This window comes from Homo sapiens, chromosome 1, assembly GCF_000001405.40.
Source record: "Homo sapiens chromosome 1, GRCh38.p14 Primary Assembly".
NCBI lineage: Eukaryota > Metazoa > Chordata > Mammalia > Primates > Hominidae > Homo > Homo sapiens.
The window spans coordinates 75963927-75983866 of record NC_000001.11 but is presented as its reverse complement, the minus strand read 5'-3'; the positions used below and the strand labels follow the sequence as shown (position 1 = coordinate 75983866).

Genomic DNA, 19940 nt, shown 5'->3' with positions numbered 1-19940 from the left:
GTAGCTGGGACTACAGGTGCCTGCCACCATGCCCAGCTAATTTTTTGTATTTTTAGTAGAGATGGGGTTTCACCGTGTTAGCTAGGATGGTCTCCATCTCCTGACCTCGTGATCTGCCTGCCTCGGCCTCCTAAAGTGCTGGGATTACAGGCATGAGCCACCACGCCTGGCCTATATTCAGCATCTTTAAAGAAAATAAATTCCAACCAAGAATTTCATATCCAGCCAAATTAAACTTCATAAGTGAAGGAGAAATAAAATCCTTTTAAGGAAAAGAAATGCTAAGGGAATTCATTACCACCATACCTGCCTGACAGGAGGTCCTTAAGGGAGTAGGAAGTGATCAGTTGGAAACCATGCATGTCAATGCCTCTATCTGGATGTTCAGCAGTACAAGAAAGGAAGTGGAACAGGAGCTGCAGCTGCAAAAAATGTCATGATTGAAGTTAAGCTCTTTTTTTGGTTTGTTTTGTTCTTATGAAGGAAGGACTTCTAAGCTGATGGTAGGAAAAGAAATAATAAAGATTGGAAATAAGAAATATAATTTTCTTGTCATTCTTTGAAAATAATTACATTCTTTTCTCATGTACATCCTGAGAAGAGGGTATAGTCAGTGCAAGTCATTTAAAGTCTCCTTAGTGACACCAGCAAGAAACAGAATAGGTCTTAGGCTCCATTGCTTCCCCACCCAATGTTTAACTAGCAACTACCGACAGATCAGAATACTTTTTTGAAAACCCCAATACTTGAATACAAGCCTGAGATTCCATGTTTCACATAACTGCATGAAAACTGAAATCAAAGTTTAAAAAGAATGGCCTCAAATTGAGCATGACACCCCTTTCCCTCCTCCTGCACAACACCAGACTGAGAAGATGGCTTGGGCCCACAGTTTATACAGGGAGAAAAGAGGACTAGAGGCAGTCATCCAGCTTTCCTAGCATTCTGAGATGTATTCCAGGAAATTCATTCTGGTCTCACCTTATGGGATACACTGTAGGTAGCAATAATGGCTAGACCACCCAGGGTTAAGTAGGAACAAAGAAAGGAAGTAGAGGTCATAGTGACTAGCATGCAGATCTTGGTAATACCTGTGTTCCTACCAGCTGGGGTGCCCAATCAGAGATATCCATCAACTTCATAGCCTATCTGCAAAGCTGAACTGGTGACCTTCAGAAGCATAACAAGAAGTTAATCTAGCTTGAGTGACTAGACAGCTAGTCTCCATACCCAGCCTCAGAGACCTCCCCAGTTACCCTGCCCAGGCACAATGATACTCACCTCTGCCCATTTTGGAGAAGTGTAGTGACCAGGCCTGCTTGACCATGGAAGTAAGCAGTGGCTCCACTCATACAAAAAGCCTGCCCAATGTTCTGCCCAGGCAGGGAGATTCTCATTGTATTAGTCAGGGTTCTCCAGAGGGGCAAAACTAATAAAATATATGTATATATGGAAGGGAGTTTATTAGGGAGAATTGGCTCACACAATCACAAGGTCAAGTCCCACGATAGGCTGTCTGCAAGCTGGGGAAGAGAAGCCAGTAGTGGCTCAGTGAAAGTCAGAAAGACTTAAAACTAGGGAAGTTGATAGTGCAGCCTTCAGTCCATGGCCAAAGGCCCAAGAGCCCCCAGCAAGCCATTGGTGCAAGTCCCAGAGTCCAAAGGCTGAAGAACCTGGAGTCTGAGGTCCAAGGGGAAGAGGAGCAGAAGGAAGCATCCAGCATGGTGTGGAACCACTGAGATTTGGGAATTAATATTAATACAACCTCATTCAACACACAGGCAGCTAAGACCTGGGCTTATTTGAGCCACACGCTTGCACTTGGAACACTTACAGCTTCCCTTTATTTAATTCCTGTGAATAAGGAGCTGTTCCTATCAACTGTCATTAAGGTCACTTCTAGTTCACAAATGGAAGGAATACGTGAGCAGCTTCTGCTCAGATGGCCACAAAATATCTTCAAAGTAAAATTCCTTTCTCTTTCTATATAGATTCTTGCTATAGTAACTTCACAGTTCTGCCTAGTCTTTCTCAAGCTATTTTTGTCTCTTTTGTTTATTCTTATACAAACTATGTGTCTCATTGGCCCAGCTGGTTGGAATAATTCTCAGACACCTACACCCTGGTCTCTTACTGACTCCATGGCTTCACCTGTTGACAGGGCATTGGGGCTGGTGCACACATAAGAATGATGAGCCAAAACAGCTCAAAACATAACTAATTTGATAGCTGTAGCCTAATTCTCCAAACTTCCAGCCAAAGGCCACCAAAACCGTAGGAAAGAGGGAGATCCCTATCCCCTACAAAAGGTGAACGAAAGGGTAAGCTGTCCTCAGGCCGAAGTGAGAGTTCTAACCTCTATAGCTCCAATTCCTTGGAGACTTAAGGGTCTGCTTTTCTCGTCAAAGAAACAAAAACAGAGAGAGACACACACAGGATGTGAATGAACTCTAAAGTCCAGCAAGCAAACAGAAACTAGTTATCAGTCAATCAGAGAAACAGGAAAACAACAAGAAGAGAAATGCAAGAAAAGTAAGAGGGGCAGATAAGGTGGATGCTGGCAGAAGGAGATAGCAGGACGGGCAAGTGAGAGAGATCAAGAGGGAAGGGAAGAAGAGACAGAGAAGGGGACTGAGCTTGATCAGTGTAACCATGGTTATACAAGGAGTATTCAAAAATCTCATGCAAAAGACAAGACATGTGAGTCATGTACCTAATACATGACTTAAAACTCCTCCCGCTTGTGAAAGGTATGGAGCTGTACAGAAGGAGAAAAAGAGCAGCAAGTTTCCTGGGGAGTCCAATAATACTATGTAATATCTATTGGGAGAGGGCTGGTTTGATCCATTATCTTACCTGGAGCTGGTCTACAGTGGTTACCCAATAACATGTATTACCTAATTTTAAATTTTAATTGTTCTTGTGCCTATACTGTTTACATAAATAATATGCCAGGCGCGGTGGCTCACGCCTGTAATCCCAGCACTTTGGGAGGCCGAGGAGGGCGGATCACGAGGTCAGGAGATGGAGACCATCCTGGCTAACACAGTGAAACCCCGTCTCTACTAAAAATACAAAAAATTAGCCGGGTGTCGTGGCGGGCGCCTGTAGTCCCAGCTACTCGGGAGGCTGAGGCAGGAGAATGGCGTGAACCCGGGAGGCGGAGCTTGCAGTGAGCCGAGATAGCGCCACTGCACTCCGGCCTGGGTGAAAGAGCAAGACTCCGTCTCAGAAATAAATAAATAAATAAATAAATAAATAAATAAATAAATAAATAAAATAATAATAATACATTACTTTGGTCATTAACAGTCAGTATATTAGTATTTTGGACTGGAATGGAACAGAATACTACCTGAAACAAATATATTTGTTTTCAATAAAGTGATTTTCTGTTTATCAGCTGTATGAGTCCCTCAGGGTGCAAGAGGCTGAGCCCATGTACCCTTAGAAATCACAGGCAGAGTCTGATACACAAAGGAGGAAAGACCAAAGTCGGGGAACCCTTGGTTGGCCCCCATAGGCAAGCGGGTATCTTTCCAGTTTCACTCCCTCCTCTTATTCTAGGTTCCTGGAACCCGTTTTTTGACTCATCCTCTGAACTCTCTGACCCGTATTTTTCAGTAGCCGCCTGTTATTAACCTATTTCTGACTATGGGTCTTTGCTGCTGAGTTTCATTGGAAGGTTCCCCTACCTCACTATTTCCACAGCCATCCCTCATCAGCAGCTGCTGCTTGGCTGTCTTCTTTCCTGGTGGATACCACCTATAGGCTCCCACGACCTTGGCCGCACTTCAAACCTGATGACTCAAAGTCATACTAATCGATTACAATACCTATTTTGTCCCCAAGACTAATGTTGACCATTTTCCTTCATGCCTATTAGAAGTCTCACGAGGCACCCCCCCAAAAACTTGTACAAATCAAACATCAAACTCTTATAGGGTTCAGCAAATAACATAAATGACTGAAGCAATTGGGTAGGGAGAGATTAGGACATGGTGGAGACTGAGACAAACCAGAGAGTCCAAATCCCATCTCAAGAAGGTATACCTGGCAGGGCATGGTGGCTCATACCTGTAATCCCAGCACTTTGGGAGGCCAAGGCAGGTGGATCACCTTAGGTCAGGAGTTCGAGACCAGCCTGGCCAACATGGTGAAACCTCGTTTCTATTAAAAATACAAAAATTAGCCAGGTGTGATGGCACGCACCTGTAATCCCAGCTACTTGGGAGGCTGAGGCAGGAGAATTGCTTGAACCCGGGAGGTGGAGGTTGTGGTGAGCTGAGGTCGTGCCGCTGCATTCCAGCTTGGGTGACAGAGCAAGACTCCCTCTCAAAAAAAAAAAAAAAGGTATAGCCATAAGTTGGCTTGGATCAATTTTTGTCACATGGGAACAAATCAGAGCCTAGCCTTTCCAGATCCTTTGAGTGTTTCATAAATCTCTCAATTTCTTTTTAAGCTGGAAACTAACATTTAAAAAATATATACTGTTATGAACTAACACTATGAGGGCTGATATGCTTAGGATATTTGTTTCCTCCAAATCTCATGTTGAAATGTAATCTCCAGTGTTGGAGGTGGGGCCTGGTAGGAGACGTTTGGATCAGGGGGGTGGATCCTTCATAAATGGCTAGTGTCATCCCCGTGGTGATGAGTGAGTTCATGCAAGATCTGATTGTTTAAAAGTATGTAGAACCTCTCCTCTCTCTTGCTTCCAGTCTTGCCATGTGACATGCTTGATCCCACTTCACTATCTGCCATGATTGTAAGCTTCCTGAGGCCCTCACTAGAAGCCAAGCAGATGTTGGTGCTGTGCTTATACAGCCTGAAGAACTACAAGCCAGTTAAGCCTATTTTCTTTATAAATTACCCAGCCTCAGGTATTTCTTTATAGAACATAATATTGGCCTAATACAAGGGCCAAACAAAACACATTTTCAATCCTAGGCTGTAATGTGTGACATGTTGCTTAATAACAGAATTGTCAACAGGGCATTGGCTTGCATATATGTGATGGACAACAGCAGTCAGACAGAGACCATGAGCCATAGCACATAGCAGAGCTCTCCACCTTTCATCATTTTGTAATGAGCAGCACAGATGGAAAAAAAAAAGAGAAAAGAATCAATAATGTATTTTAGGGGCACCTCAATTAGGCTACATAATAATGAACTGAATTCTGGGTTCTGAAGTAATTGGCAGCCCCAGAGAAACTAAATCCATGTCTCTGGACCCAGGGAGGTTTCATGGGTCTCAAACCCTTTGTTGGGGGTGAGGAGATTCAAAGTGAAGACATCATTAGTTGGAGCCTAGCCTTTGATTTTGTAACAATTAAAGTACTCAAAGAGTGAACCTTACACAAATGTGACAGGAGGAATTATGTCTACTTCTTATACACTAGTGACCACATGCCTTTCCCAAAAGATTCCTATAATCTTTGCACCCACTAAAACCTGTCCTTAAGACCTTAATTCACCACCTCCCAAGCAGTGTGCATAGGCTCAAGTTATTTAAATGAGTTTGCTGAAACCTTGATCCCCTCAGTCCTCAGGGCTGTCTGGTTGCCATGTGGCAGGCAGCTGAAGTCCCTGAGCCTGTCCCTTCTGACCACAAGCAGCCTAATTTTTTACCCCAATGCACCGTACACATATTATTATTTTTGATATGCCGCAAAGAGGATAAGATTAGGAAGTGCCGCCAACTCATCTGTCTGCAGGATTCTTTATGGATGGGTTTGCCCAGGAGGTGGACTTCACCTCTGTGTAGATGCTCTGCTCAGCTCTTTCCCTCCAGGATTGCAGCATTTGTTTCCCTGCTGCTGGGTGTGTTGGCAGCTGGCAGCTCTCAGCTGAGTCCCTCAGTGGGATTTGCCTTCCTCCGAAGAGTCACTTCATTCAAGGTCACTCTCCTCAAGGACACACTACATGCACTAACAGTTCAATGATGGCAAATGAGAATAAAAGTCTGGCCCCCTCTTTCCAATTCTAGCTAAGTCTGAAGAGCCACCAGCTTCAGAGCTCCTATAAGTTCAGGTGAGGCCTCTTTCAATACATCGCAGTTTAATTTCCCCTTCTGCCCAATCCTGCTTTCCTTGCTTCCTACAGTTGTTGAACCTAGTAGCACATTCAACAATCCTCCTGCATGCAAATCCCTGTCTCAGAGTTGGCCTCCTGGAGCTGACCTGCGACAGCCTCCTGATTGAATCTCTCTTTCCTATCAAACTCATGCCCTCTGGAAACACATAGAAACATAACTAAGCATGGCTTTGCCATCTCAGATGAATCTCATTTCAACACCCATTTCCCATAGAGATTATTAGGGTCTTAAATTTCTTTAAGTCTTTTTTTCTCACATAGGTCATGAGGTCTGTCCTGTTTTTGCTATCCTAGATTTCTTCAGTGAGGTTTAGAGACCAAGTTTTACACAGAATAAAATAAAACTTCCAGTTCTAACACCCTCCCTCCATTTCGGGGCAGCCTCAGTTAGCAGATGTTGCTGTCCAGGAGTAGTTTCAGAATTGGATTGTCCATGATAGTATCCTCACTTAGATAATAATTACAACAATAACTATTATTACCATCAATTGTATACTTTCTGCATCATAAGCTCCACATGAAAAGAGTTTTTCGGGAATCTTATCTTTAACTTTTCCAACAAGCCCAATGAGGAAAGTATTATTAACCTTTCTGTAGAGAAATAGTCTAAGAGTCAAATTGCCCAAGGCCATACCATTCTGGAGCTGGGAATAAACGCAGGATCTTTTGTCCTAAAAGCCTGATCGTGGTCCTCTGCACCACTCTTTCCATGTCCTCTGTTACTCCTACTCCTCAGTTCAAAGTTCACTTTGGAGGGAAAGATTTCTAAGGACAGGAAGTTTTGTCTGTTTTCTTCTCCCTTGTGTCCAAGTGCCCGCAACAGTAGCTGGCATGCGGCAGATGTTCAATTAGTTGTTTGCCAAATGAACGAATGAGTTTTGGTGACACGATCCTGCCAGAATGGACTCAAACACTAAAAAATGCTGAGGAATGTCTGAACTCATTATTTTTGAGCAGGAGCCAGGGTGCTGCTACTCCACACACTGCTCGGTGCAAATTAGAAAAGGAGTCTCCTCCATGAGACACCTGTGAGGACATTGTTCTAGCATATGGATTTATTAGAGTGAGACACTTTACTGCCATCTGCCCCAAAATAATAAATGCACAGGTCTGTGATGTGGATAACATTCCCTTCAGTGCGGTGCTGCTGTGCACCTGACAACCCCCACAGCCCTATGTGGCTGCTCTGCCTAGGCTAGCCGGGCTAGTTTACGCATTTGTCTAACTAGACACTGGTGTCAGATTTGTCTTACTTTTTGACAGCTGGACTGTAGCCCACATTTGTGTTTAATTCCTTATTTAACGATCTTTTATCAATTTTGAGATAATGACCAAACTCTCAGAAAGTCTGTGAGATGACAGTCTAGGTATTACCTAGGCTCCCCACTCCATAAGCTTCATGCTTTCAGAAAGCTCTCTCATCACTCTTTGATGGAGAGCTATTTCCAAGAGCCATACAATTTCCTGACATTCTTCTTTACTTGTTGAAGACAGTTTCTCTTGAGAAAGTACAATATCTTAAGTACTTCAAAAACACTGTGAATGCCACTACTGCCCTTCTGAATCAAGCTTTCTTTCTCATCGGTAGTCTTCTCCTCTGACCTGCTTTTTACTGACTTTTACGCCCTTTGTCCCAGGCAGATAAAACACTGGTGTGGAAAAGGTCAAATTCAGCATGCCAAAATAATATATATTTCTATATTTCCAATGAAAAGAAAGGCAAATTGATAGATAATATTCATCAATCTATCTCTGAGTTTCCTGAGGAAGTGACACTAGAAAGGTGAGGTTATGAATAGTCTTTGATTATGGATGGCCAGATGCCAATGTATAAATCAATGGAGTATTTTATTTTATATACAGTTCTTTACAAACAAGGCCAGGAGAAAAATAAACAAACAAAATGAATGTAACAGGCTATCCTGCTGTTATAAAATGTAATAAGGCCAAGGAAGATCTCATAGGATCCAAAACTCTGTTTGGTTTATTATCCCAAGATAATAAATTGAACATGATTTAGCTGTATAGATACGTCGCAGTACAAAATTACCAACTGCATTTTGATGATCAATTCAGCCCACATGCCATGGCAACTAAACTAAATCTTAACACTGCAGGTAAACCTAAGTTAGGTAGACCTAAGCTGTTTTTTTGTTTGAGAATCCATTTCATGTTGTTTAATCTTTGGTTGGAGTATTTAACACATTGTATGGAATTTTCAGCTCACCCATCTATATTCTTCCCACTGGATTGGAAATTCCTTGAGGACAAGAAGCAATCTCCCACATTTTCATATTCCAAGTGATAATTATAATGCCCTATACATCATGGGTTTCCCAAATGCTTTGTGGGAGTCAGGAAGGTGTTTTTCCATTGGTGCAGAGGAATTAGACAACATTCTTTATTATGAAATCTTGCTTCAAGATATTAAAAAAAAAGATGTCATTAGTAGTACCCAGAAGGCTCAAAGGACATGTTTTTAAGAGAGTACTTTTTAACCTCACGGTGTTATCATTCATTGATTTCCTATAATTTATCCTGAATTTGCTGAAATTCAGTTTTCTCAGAAATCTTTGTATATTGTCCTATTGTGTTCAATGACTCAAGCAATGAAATGCATGGTCTTAAAGGGAGTCGTTGGCCCTCCCCATGCTGGGCATGAAGTGAATAAATAAAATTTCCCTAACTACTGTGCCAGAAGATGATTAACGATGCTGTGCAGCAAGTGTCATGGTGCTACAAAAATGGGGGCTTGCAGAAAGAAGCCCTGCCAAACAAAAGACTCATAAAATGCCTCTTCATCATGCCTGTAATCCCAGCAGTTTGGGAGGTTGAGGCTGGCAGATCAGTTGAGGTTAGGAGCTTGAGACCAGCCTGAACAACATGGTGAAACCACATCTCTACTAAAAATACAAAAATTAGCCAGGTGTAGGGGTGGGCACCTGTAATCCCAGCTTCTCAGGAGGCTGAGGCAGGAGGATTGCTTGAACCAAGGAGGTGGAGGTTGCAATGAGTCCAGATCACACCACTGCACTTCAGTCTGGGCTACAAAGTGAGACTCTGTCTTAGAAAAACAAACAAACAAACAACAACAACAACAACGAAAATCCCTCTTCATTATTCCATCACACTCAACAATAATCCAGTGGGAGCAGGGGGTAGATTATAGACCCCACAGCAGAGAACACCTATTCTGTGAGAAGAATGTAGTTTCCAGAATTTTCCAGCACAGAATGTTGTGATCAGGAGGGTAGTAAACACCACAGCTAACATTTGAGAGAATTTACTTTGCCACACACTTTGCTATATACTTGACGTGCATTTATCCTTGGAGCCACCCATGGAGGAAGGTACTCTTAATAATCTCTATTTTATAGATAAGGAAACTGAGGTTTATTTAACAGGTTAGTAATTTATTTAAGTTCTCAGGGAAAGTAAATAGCCAAGCCAGCCCTGAGCCCTAGTCTGTCTGCTGGAACTCTGCTCTTTAAGCAAGTAAGTGCATAAACAGAAACTAAGTGTGGTAAACAATACCAAGGCTCACCAATGTATTTGAGTTCTTCTCTCCTGAGCACATGGGAGGATTACATGACGCTACCCATACCCATTTCAGTTAGTTTTCATCTGTTTTTGGCCAACAAAATGACATAATACACTTTATTGCAGAAGCATTTAAAATTCAGAGTATGATTCTTCACTTCTCCTGACACAGCAAAGCCCGAAGACCCATATTGAGATGGCAGCATCACTCAAAGCACACTTCATGGCCAAGGATGATAATAGAGAAGAAAGTACGTCCTAGAGGACCAAGCCAAGGGCTGTGGGGATTAATGGACTGGGAGACTCTCCTAGAGATCTGAATGGAGTTAAATCAGGGAATATTCTCTACCTCCAATGTAGGAAATCAACACATGCCTAGTGAGTTTTCAGAATTGCTCCAGACCAGTTACTGTTATGTGTCTACCATTCTTCCTCTCACAGAATGTGAACATTTATTGACATTATCCTGTCCTAGTCTATAGGAAAGGTAGGGAGAGAGGGAGAGGTACCTCTTTTTAGTTCATAGTGTTTCATGGGGATTTGGAGTTCTCTCTCTTGCAGGGAGCAAGGGTAAGGAGTGTATTCTGGATGTGGGGGAAAAGGTGAATCTAGTATTTAGTTATTAGATTATGGTAGGAATTACAAATATTCCCCAATATTTCTCTTCTCTCCTTTTGGGAATACTGTGGATTATACTTCTCTGTTCTCTTGGAATTAGGCATAGCCAGTGGCTTGCTTTGGCCAATGGAATGAGAACAGAAATGATGTGCCACTACTGAGCAGGTGCATTTAAGATCCAGCTCATTATCCTCCATGCTTATTTCCACTGTCACAGCAAACCCTGAACCCTCATGTTGAAATAGAAATGTTGTAAAATGATAATGCTTCCATCATCCTGGGTGCCTGAATGAGCATTAATGAGCATTGTCCCTGCCATCACAAGTTAAGCATGTAGTATTAGAAAAAAATAAACTTTCATCTTTCAAACACAGAGAGTTTTGGGGTTGCTTGTTACCACAGTGTAACCTAGCCTATCCTGATGCTACCCTAAAACTTAGCCTTAAGAGAGCACCCAAATTTGAAGCTAATATCCCAGCTCAGAGTGGACTGCATGGGCCAAGAGCAGTGAAATACACTAAAAGACATCGTAGAATTAATCTGAACTCTTAGTCAAACTGATTACCACTTGCTCCTTAGTGAAAAAGAGATGAAATAGACCCAGTAGAGTTATTTGTAAATGCACAGAGATGGTAAAATATTTAAAATTTATGGAATCACAAAAATGCTTTAGTTCTCTGAAAAATTACCAGAGTTAAAGATCCCTGGCCAGGCACAGTGGCTCACGCCTGTAATCCCAGCACTTTAGGAGGCCGAGGCGGGCGGATCACGAGGTCAGGAGATTGAGACCATCCTGGCTAACACCGTGAAACCCCGTCTCTATTAAAAATACAAAAAATTAGCCAGGTGCGGTGGCGGGTGCCTGTAGTCCCAGCTACTCGGGAGGCTGAGACAGGAAAATGGCGTGAACCCGGGAGGTGGAGCTTGCAGTGAGCTGAGATCGAGCCACTGCACTCCAGCCTGGGCGACAGAGTGAGACTCCATCTCAAAAAAAAAAAAAAAAAGATCGCTTTGGGTATCCCCAAAGAAGACAACTAGGTAAGGAACACCTGATAGCACTGTTTCTCATGGTGTTTTGTTAACATCTTACATATGAATCACTAGGGTCCTTGTTAAAAATACAAATTCCTAGGCCCTACCATTGAAACCCACTGCTTTAGCAAATCTGTTTTAAGTAGCCTCTTTCTGTCTGTGTATACTAGATAATGTCTTGACTTTTCCTAGAGTTACATAACTCCCAACTCAGTAATGCCACAATCCCTTTAAATCAATAAAGGTTTAAGACCATTAACAATTTCTTAGGAGCTTATGCCCAAGCTAATATTTAAAAGGGACTTGTAATTACCTGGCCTTTAAGCAGGTATTCTTGGTGGACTGGCATAAGGAAGAACCTGTAATGGCCAATGAAATCAGTGTTTGAAATATCCCTTGGTATTATTGTCAAGAATATCAAGCACCAACCATGTGCTTATATTAACCATAATGCTAGTGTTAGGTACACAAAGGTGATAGTTTCATTTCTCAAGGAATTTTATAGGTACACAAATATATGAATATAGTTTATTCTCATTATTCATGAGAATCATATTCTATAAAGTCATTCCAAATGCTAAATTATCAAATATTGAACCACTGCTCCAAGGGGAAACATGGGGTTAAGTTCCTGTGAACCTCTGGTCACAAAATTTGTTTTGTCCACTGATCAGTATGTAACCTTGTTTTATGTGGCATTCTGTTTAAAGATACCTTATTTAATACATATTTTTGATTCACTGACATTGAATACAATGCTAGCCAACAGCATTAGACTTCGTGCCTAAGTGAAGCTTACCTAACACACATGTTCTTTTTAAGACACATCAGAGACTTTTTGCGGTTAGGCGCACTAGCCAGCACTTCAGCACTATCCTTGGGGGCCATTCTAGATGGGGAAATCACCAATGAAAAGCACAAAAATGTGACAATATGGCGCCAAACAGACCACAAAATAGATATATGTTCATAGTATGAGAGCTAAAGGAAGAAAACAGAGTGTCCCTTAATTTGATCTCAGCTGGGAATGTGTGTCAGGTGACATAAAATTTTTGCCATTATGCATACGTGTGTCTACAAATGACTAGGAAAGTGATGCAAGTATCAATTTAGGGGTTACAAATAAATTTTAGCAAGTAGGAAAATTCACAAATATGGAATCTGTGAATAATAAGGATTAACTGTATGTGCATTCATAATGTACTGCAATGGAAGCGTAACAGGGTACAATAGAAATGCAGGGAAAGAGAACTTAATGTAGTGGGTGGTAAAGCACAGAAGATGGAAAAGCTGTCAGAGAGGAAGTCATGCTTAAGCAAAAACTTGTGAAGTAAACATGAATTTGACCAATAGGCAAACAAGGAAAGGATATACCAGGAAGGGGAAACATGTGAGGAAAGAATACAAGGCAGAACAACCTGGTGAGGAAAGACCCTGAAAGGCTTCGTATGCCATGCTAAGGAGGTTAGATTTTATTTTTTGTAAATCGCAGGGGATGATATCCTGCTTAATTGAGTAGACTCTCTCAATTTGCATTTCTCTTCTATTAGCCACATTGCTTCTCCAACACCAAGTACTAGGAGAGTGTAAATGATTATTTTCAGAACTGCAATTGTTTGCCCTATCCCTTTTGTAATTTCTCCTACTTAAATTTCATTTCCTAAATATGGCTTGCCTGAAAGCTTCCTGTTATGATTTATTCACTGAGTAATTTCATATTTAGGAGATGATGTTTTTGCAATGTTTTGATTAGATGAGAATCTAATACATGAAACATGACATGAATCAGTATCTGTCTAATTCTCAGATAACTACAACTCTATCACATATACCAGTCAGAATGGCTATGATGTCTACTGCATGTCAGTTGCATGCTTTTGACTAAGCAGGGAAAAAATATCATCAAGGAAGAAGTTTCTGTGTATCTGGAGAAGGTAAACTATAAACCAATTCAAAGATGTGGCAAATTACCTGGCAGCCAACTGAGAAAAATTTGCATTACTGGGGGCTCTGTGGTTGTTGTTGGGGTAGTTTAGGAGCCTGGAGTCCTTTTTTCGCATTGCTAGCCTTAGACAGTGCTCAGGCAGGTTTGCCTTTTGTTCACCAAATGAAATTGCCACAGATACTTGGGTGATGAGATGTAGTTACCGGGCATCAGTACAGGCCACTGTCATCCATCACCTCTTTTATTACTATCATCTCCTATCTGCCTTCCCTTACTCTAGTCTCACTTCCTCTCCCATTCATTGCAAATTCATGCCAGAGTAGCCTTCTTCAAGTAGTGCTATACACTGGATTTTGATCCCTACAATTTATTTGTTGAAGCCCTAACCCTCAATGTGACTGTATTTAGAATAGGGCCTTCATGAAGGTAATTAAGATTAAATGAGAACATAAGGCTGGATCCATAAACAGATAGGATGGGGGTCCTTATAAGAAAAGGAAGAGCTCTCAGAGATCTCTCTGTGCACACACACAAAGAAAAGATCATGTGAGGATAGTGAGACAGTGGCAATATACATGCTAGGAAGAGCTGCAACACCAGATCCCAAACCTGATGGCACTTTGATCTTAGACTTCTAACCTCCAGAACTGTGAGAAAATAAACTTCTGTTGTTTAAGCCACTCAGCCTATGGTATTTTGTCATGGTAGCCTGAGCAGACTAATACAAGTTAGTATAGCCAACACATTACTCTCCAGCTTGCAGATCTGCAAGGGCTTTCCTTAACATCGTCTCAAGGCCCAGCTTGCTCAGCTTTCCCTTAACTGTCTTATGACTCTCATCCTCACTCGGCATTTGAGTCATGCTGACCTATTAAGCACTTCCCTTCCAAAGCATGATTTGTCCTGCCTCAGGGCTTTTGCACATGCTGCTCAATCAGCCCAGAATATTCTTCTCCATTTTGCACCACAAGTTCTTATCTATTGTCTCATCTTAGACATCACCTCTTCCAGAAAGCTTTTGCTGACCACCCCATCATTCCCTCTGCCCCACTGTGTTAGGTGCCTCTCTACGGCTCCCATTATTCCCTGTAGTTTCCCTAACAAAGCATGGACCATCCTGTGTTGTCACTTCCTGTTTACTTGACTGCCTTCCCCTATTTGACTACAAGCTCATCAAAGCAGGGACTGTGTCCTATTATTTCCTGTGTTTTAAGAGCCAACTCAGTGCCCACACTGTTTTTGTTAAGTTTGTTAAACATTTTTGAGTAAATAAATAGTGAATGAATCAATACCGCTACTTCTAAGGAGGAGACAAGCTATAGGACTTAGAATCTGAAAAAATGGGTATGAGTTCTACTTCCACCAGTTATTGGTGTGTGACTTGGGCAAGTCACTTATTCTTCCTGTAACCCAACTCTTATTTGCAAAATAGGGAGGACAACAACACCAACTTCACAGAATTGGCATAAGGGTTGATTAAAATATGCATAGAGAGGCATTGCAAACTATAATTTTTTAAATACATGTTAGTTATTTTATATATATATATAGAAAATATACATGTTTATTGTTCACAGGGTTAATTTTTTAACCACTGATTTAATTTAAAAAGTTTAATTTGATGCTGTGGGTGCAATTTTATCCTATAAATGAAAACCACTGTAGTGTGACTAGATTAGGATATTAGGACTCTCATGAAATACAACAAGAAATTGGAAATGTTAAAAAAAAAAAAAGGCTAAATAGAGGGAGTCTGTTTCAATTCTAAGCTTCCAGCATTCACTGAAAAAAAACAACAACTAAGAAATACACTATGCAAAGATCTTTTAAAAAGTGAAATTCTATCCAGTATAAAAGGAAAGAAAGTATGACTCATGATAACTTTATTTGCTGACACTAAAACAATAATTTATAAGCAACCCATTTTCTGTGTGGCCAAGTGGAAACCCAGACATTGCAGATGATCCTGGGACATGTAGCCAATGGACATTCTGCTCTTCAGTTCATTCAACCATATAGAGCTTTCAGCTCACTTCGCCATAGACCCTGCACAGAAACCTTCATAGGCAATAGCTCAGCTTCCCTAAATGACCAGGGAGCTCATGGACAGTCATGCTTATCTGAAAGCTGACACAGAGTATTTCTCACCGATGGTTTTCATAGCATTTCCAAATCGACTTCTTTTCTAATCTAGATCAGCAATCATTTTTAAAGTTTGTAAAATGGTTTATCAGCATATGACCTACCAGTGAATTCCAATATGGAATAACCAAGTTGTTCAAATAAAACAGAAATCTATTCAAACCAGTTATGGCTTCCCGACCTCAACTGTGAACGAAAGTCATGTCAGCAGGTAGATTTTTCAGTTGTTGTTTTATTAAACTGCTAAGATGAAGTCTGACAGTCTAAAAATATGTCTTCAACTGTTTCCTCTGCACTCCGCTAATGAGGTAGGCAGTCCTCAGCTCCTTATCTTTTTAAACAAGAGTAATTTATTAAAAGGGATAGATCACTTTCACCCAAACTTAACAGGGATGGCAGGAAAAGGGCAACACAAAATACTGATGGGAATGTAAGTTGGCACAACCTTTAGGGTGAGCACTTAGACAACCATGAGCATGCACACAAGTTAGCTGCTTAAATACAGTGGCATTTCTAAAGGATGTCCCTCGGGTTCAGAAAAGTTATTTGAATGTGGTTGACATTTTCCTATTTACCTATAGCTTGCTTAAGAGATGATGTGGCAGACTGCTAGCCCAGTGGTTTCTAATTCCTAGTTCAGCCACTTACTTAGCTCAGACTATACCAACTGGGCAAATACAAGTTAAAAGAGGCTTAACTCTCCCTGTTGAAAATAAGAGACCCCCCTCCTCAAATGTCATTATGATACATTGTACATTATGATACAATGTACATAAAAAATAAAAATACAAGCTAATAAGATGAACAATGAGCACTGTTTTTCAGAAAACATAAGTAAAATCCATGTATCTGTTTGTGTGTATAAGTTCATGTGTAAAAAGAGATTGATGAGGAAAAAGACAAGCCAGGGGGTTAATAAGTGACCTCAGAGGGGTGTGGGTAGAGGGAAGATGACTAGATTTGTCTTTATGTACATCTGGATTGTGTTGTTTCATCTGATGAAATAAAATTACCATTTTAATTTTTAAATATCAAATAAAAAAGGATTGTAAAAATATCATTCAGTCTCCAATGTGGAGAACAGATCATTAGTTGCTGAGGTTGGAAATGAGACCAGGTAGGATATTTCGGCAACAAGGCAAGAGTTGATGGTTGCTTGGATGAGGGTTGGAATTCGTGGTAATGGAGAGCAGTGGGTAGGCTTGGGTTAGATTTTGGAGGTAGAACTAATGCAATGAAGGTAAGGGGGTAGGGGAGTAGAGAAGACAAGAGTGGAATAAAAAATGACTTCAATGTTTTTGGTTTGAGCACTTGGCCAGGTGATGGTATTGTATGAGAGCTGATACTGGAGAAGAAATAGGTTTGGGCAGGGGTGCCAATAGAGGTAAGTGCTCTATTTTATAAATGTCAGTTTGAAATGCCTTTTTGGCATCTATGTGGAGATGGATTGCCCTTTGGACTATGCTATTTAGGATGTGAGTTGGGAGGCAACCTCCTTTTTATGAGCATTGGCATCTTAAAGGAACAACATGGAAGGGAAGCCATTCTTCAACACTGCCTACTTTAAGGTACTTCTCTCCTACAGACAGGGAGTTGCTTTTGTCCCAGGAAACATGGAACAGAGGTAGCTAGTTCTGGATTTCAATATCTGATCTCTCCCACTTCCTATGTCACAGAATCTCTGATTTGTAATGGTGCATATGGCCAAGGTGATTAAAAATAGCAAATGAACACATACTCCCAGAATTCTTTGCAACTAGATGTAGCAAATAGACTAAATTCTTACCAGTAAGCTATAAGCAGCAGTGCTGACTGGCAATTTCAGGTAACCCACATTAAAATATAATTGGTATGTGCCTTTTGTAACTTTTTCCTGTATCCCTTTCTCTATACTGCTGCTGCAGATGGGTGTGAGTGTTGGAGCTCCAGCAGCCACCTTGGACTAGGAGAATGAAGTCTAGTGATGATAAAAGAGCTAGACAATGCCTGGGTTCCTGATAACTTTGAAGAGTCAGTGTATTAGCCATGGACAACCTGGCTCTTGACTTTTTTTTTATGAAATGGAAAGTTAAAATTGTCACATTTAAGCCACTGTAATTTTGGCTATTCTGTCATATATCGCTAGCAAATCTAGTTCTGACTGATGAAGAGCAGAAAGAAACTACTATTATTTTCAGGATTTCATACTCTCAAAGTTCCTTATCCTTCTCTTCCTAACCCTCATATTGGCAACCTCTATATTCATAATTGGAGTTGGCTATAATTTCCTTTTTTTTCACTATTTGTCAACCTTACATATTAATGCTGAACTCATAAAATGAATTGGGTTTATAAAATGAATCTGGCTACTTCTCATCTTTTTCTATATATGAAATAGTTTTACAAAACACTAGAATTAACTGTTCTTTTAAAAGTTAGATAACATTCAGCTGAGAAACTTTCTGATTCTGCTGTCCTTCTTAAATAGTGATCTTTTTTATACTTTCAATGTCTGCTACATGAATTGACCTATCAAGTTCTCTATTTCTTCTTATGCCAACTTTGATTTGCATTTTACTAGGAAAACATCTATTTCCTCTAGGTATTCAAATTTATTGTTAAAAAGTTGCACATAGTATTCTCTATATTGTATCATTGTATCTACGGCTTCTTTTATATCTTCAGTTAAGCTTCCTTTCTTATTTCTAAACATAGTTTCCTCTCTTCTTCATCTTCCCTTATATTTAAGTCTCTGTTCCAACTTCTTTGCTTGGTGTCCTTTCTCACATATTTTCCTTAGGTAGAGCATAGCCCAAAACATTTTTCCTTTTGCATGACCCATGAATTATATATTGCCTCTGTATTGGATAATAGGTTTTAGTCCTTTTTTCTAAGTCATCTGTGGATGTTATTCTACCACTTCAAGTATTGCTGAAATTCAAAGACAGTCTGATTGTTTTGCCTTCATAACCACTTTTTCTTTCTGCCTGGAATTTTGTGAGGTTTTCTCTTTATCCTGGAATTCAGGAATTTTATGAGGATATGCCTAGTTAAGTCTTTTCCTTTCAGTCTTTCCTAAAATGTAGTATGCACTTTCAAACAGTGGTCAGGCCTTTTTTCAGCTCTCTCATCCATCTGTTGCTTTTTCTTTAATTGGAATTTCTATTTTTTCCATTTTAGGCTCCACAGATATTTTCTCTAAGTCTGTTCTCTTTTCCATCATGATTTCATTTTTTGAATGTAAATATTTGCTCTGTGTCTTGAGAAATCTGATGTCTCAGATCAGTACATAGCTCTAGACAGGAACTATGTTCTTCTTTCTTCATCTACTGATGTTTCATTTGTAAATTATGTTTTCAATTCCAGACAATCTGTTTTGTGCTTTCCTTGTATATCCTTAAGTGTGCTTTTTGTTTTTTTATCCAGGTTATCCTTTGTCTTCTCTAAGCAGCTGGTGTTTTTAAAAGAAGACCATGTGAAGCCACTGACAGACACACAAGGAGAGCCACATAATGACAGAGACAGAAGTTGGAGAGATGTGTCCACAAATGTAGGAATGCCAGCAACCACCAGATGCTGACAGAGGCAAGGAAAGACTCTTCACTAGAGCCTTCAGAGGAAGCATGGCCCTGCTGACAGCCTGATTTCTGAATTCTAGCCTCTAGAACTGTGAGACAATGAATTTCTGGGTTTTTAAAATTATTATTATTTATTTGAGATGGAGTCTTACTCTGTCAGCCAGGCTGGAGTGCAGTGGTGTAATCTGAGCTCACTGTAACCTCTGCTTCCTGGGTTCAAGCGATCCTCTCTCCTCAGTCTCCCAAGTAGCTGGGATTACATGCATGCGCCACCACGCCCGGCTGATTTTTGTACTTTTAGTAGAGACAGGGTTTCACCATGTTGGCCAGGCTGTTCTAGAATTCCTGACCTCAAGTGATCCACCCACCTCGGCCTCCCAAAGTGCTGGGATTATAGGCATGAGTCACCATGCCCGGCAAATTTCTGTTGTTTTAAACCACCTAGTTATGCTGATTTTTTACGGCAGGCTTAGGAAACTAATATGCTAAGTTAGGTGCAATGTGAAGAACTTTATCTCATTTCCTTCTCATATCAATCCTATCAGGTAGTACTATCCATTTTATAGATAAGAAAATCAAGCCATGAAGAGTTTAATCCTCTTTCCCATGTCAAACTGTTGGTAAGTGATAAACTCAAAACTAAGCAGGCCACTTCTTTTTTTTTTTTTTTTTTAAGATGGAGTCTTACTCTTATTGCCTAGGCTGGAGTGCAATGACGCAATCTCAGCTCACCACAACCTCTGCCTCCCGGTTCAAGTGATTCTCCTGCCTCAGCCTCCTGAGTGGCTGGGATTACAGGCATGCACCACCGCACCTGGCTAATTTTGTATTTTTAGTAGAAATGGGGTTTCTCCATGTTGGTCAGGCTGGGATTACAGGAGTGAGCCACGGAGCCCAGTAAGCAAGCCAATTCCTAATCATTGCTCTCTATAATCTCCTAGTGCCTTAGAAATTTAAATACCCTTCATCTGGCTGCTTCTGCAGGCAACCACATGTCAAACACTGCTT

General features: G+C 40.7%; 1 long non-coding RNA gene across 1 annotated transcript in view, besides 1 other annotated feature; it reads left to right on the top strand.

The window, feature by feature from the left end:
• LOC105378806 (uncharacterized) overlaps positions 1–18950 on the top strand; it is a 38030-nt gene extending 19080 nt beyond the window's left edge. Inside the window, exon 3 of the long non-coding RNA XR_947521.3 lies at positions 18781–18950. This is a non-coding gene — a long non-coding RNA (uncharacterized LOC105378806). The remainder of the gene's footprint in view (positions 1–18780) is intronic.
• Positions 2104–2163: an enhancer, noted in NCBI's record as "active region_1209". NCBI's record gives its function as "activates an Ori minimal core promoter by ATAC-STARR-seq in GM12878 lymphoblastoid cells {active_cell/tissue: GM12878}" and the evidence as "EXISTENCE:reporter gene assay evidence [ECO:0000049][PMID:35858748]".
• Positions 18951–19940: the final 990 nt, after the last annotated feature.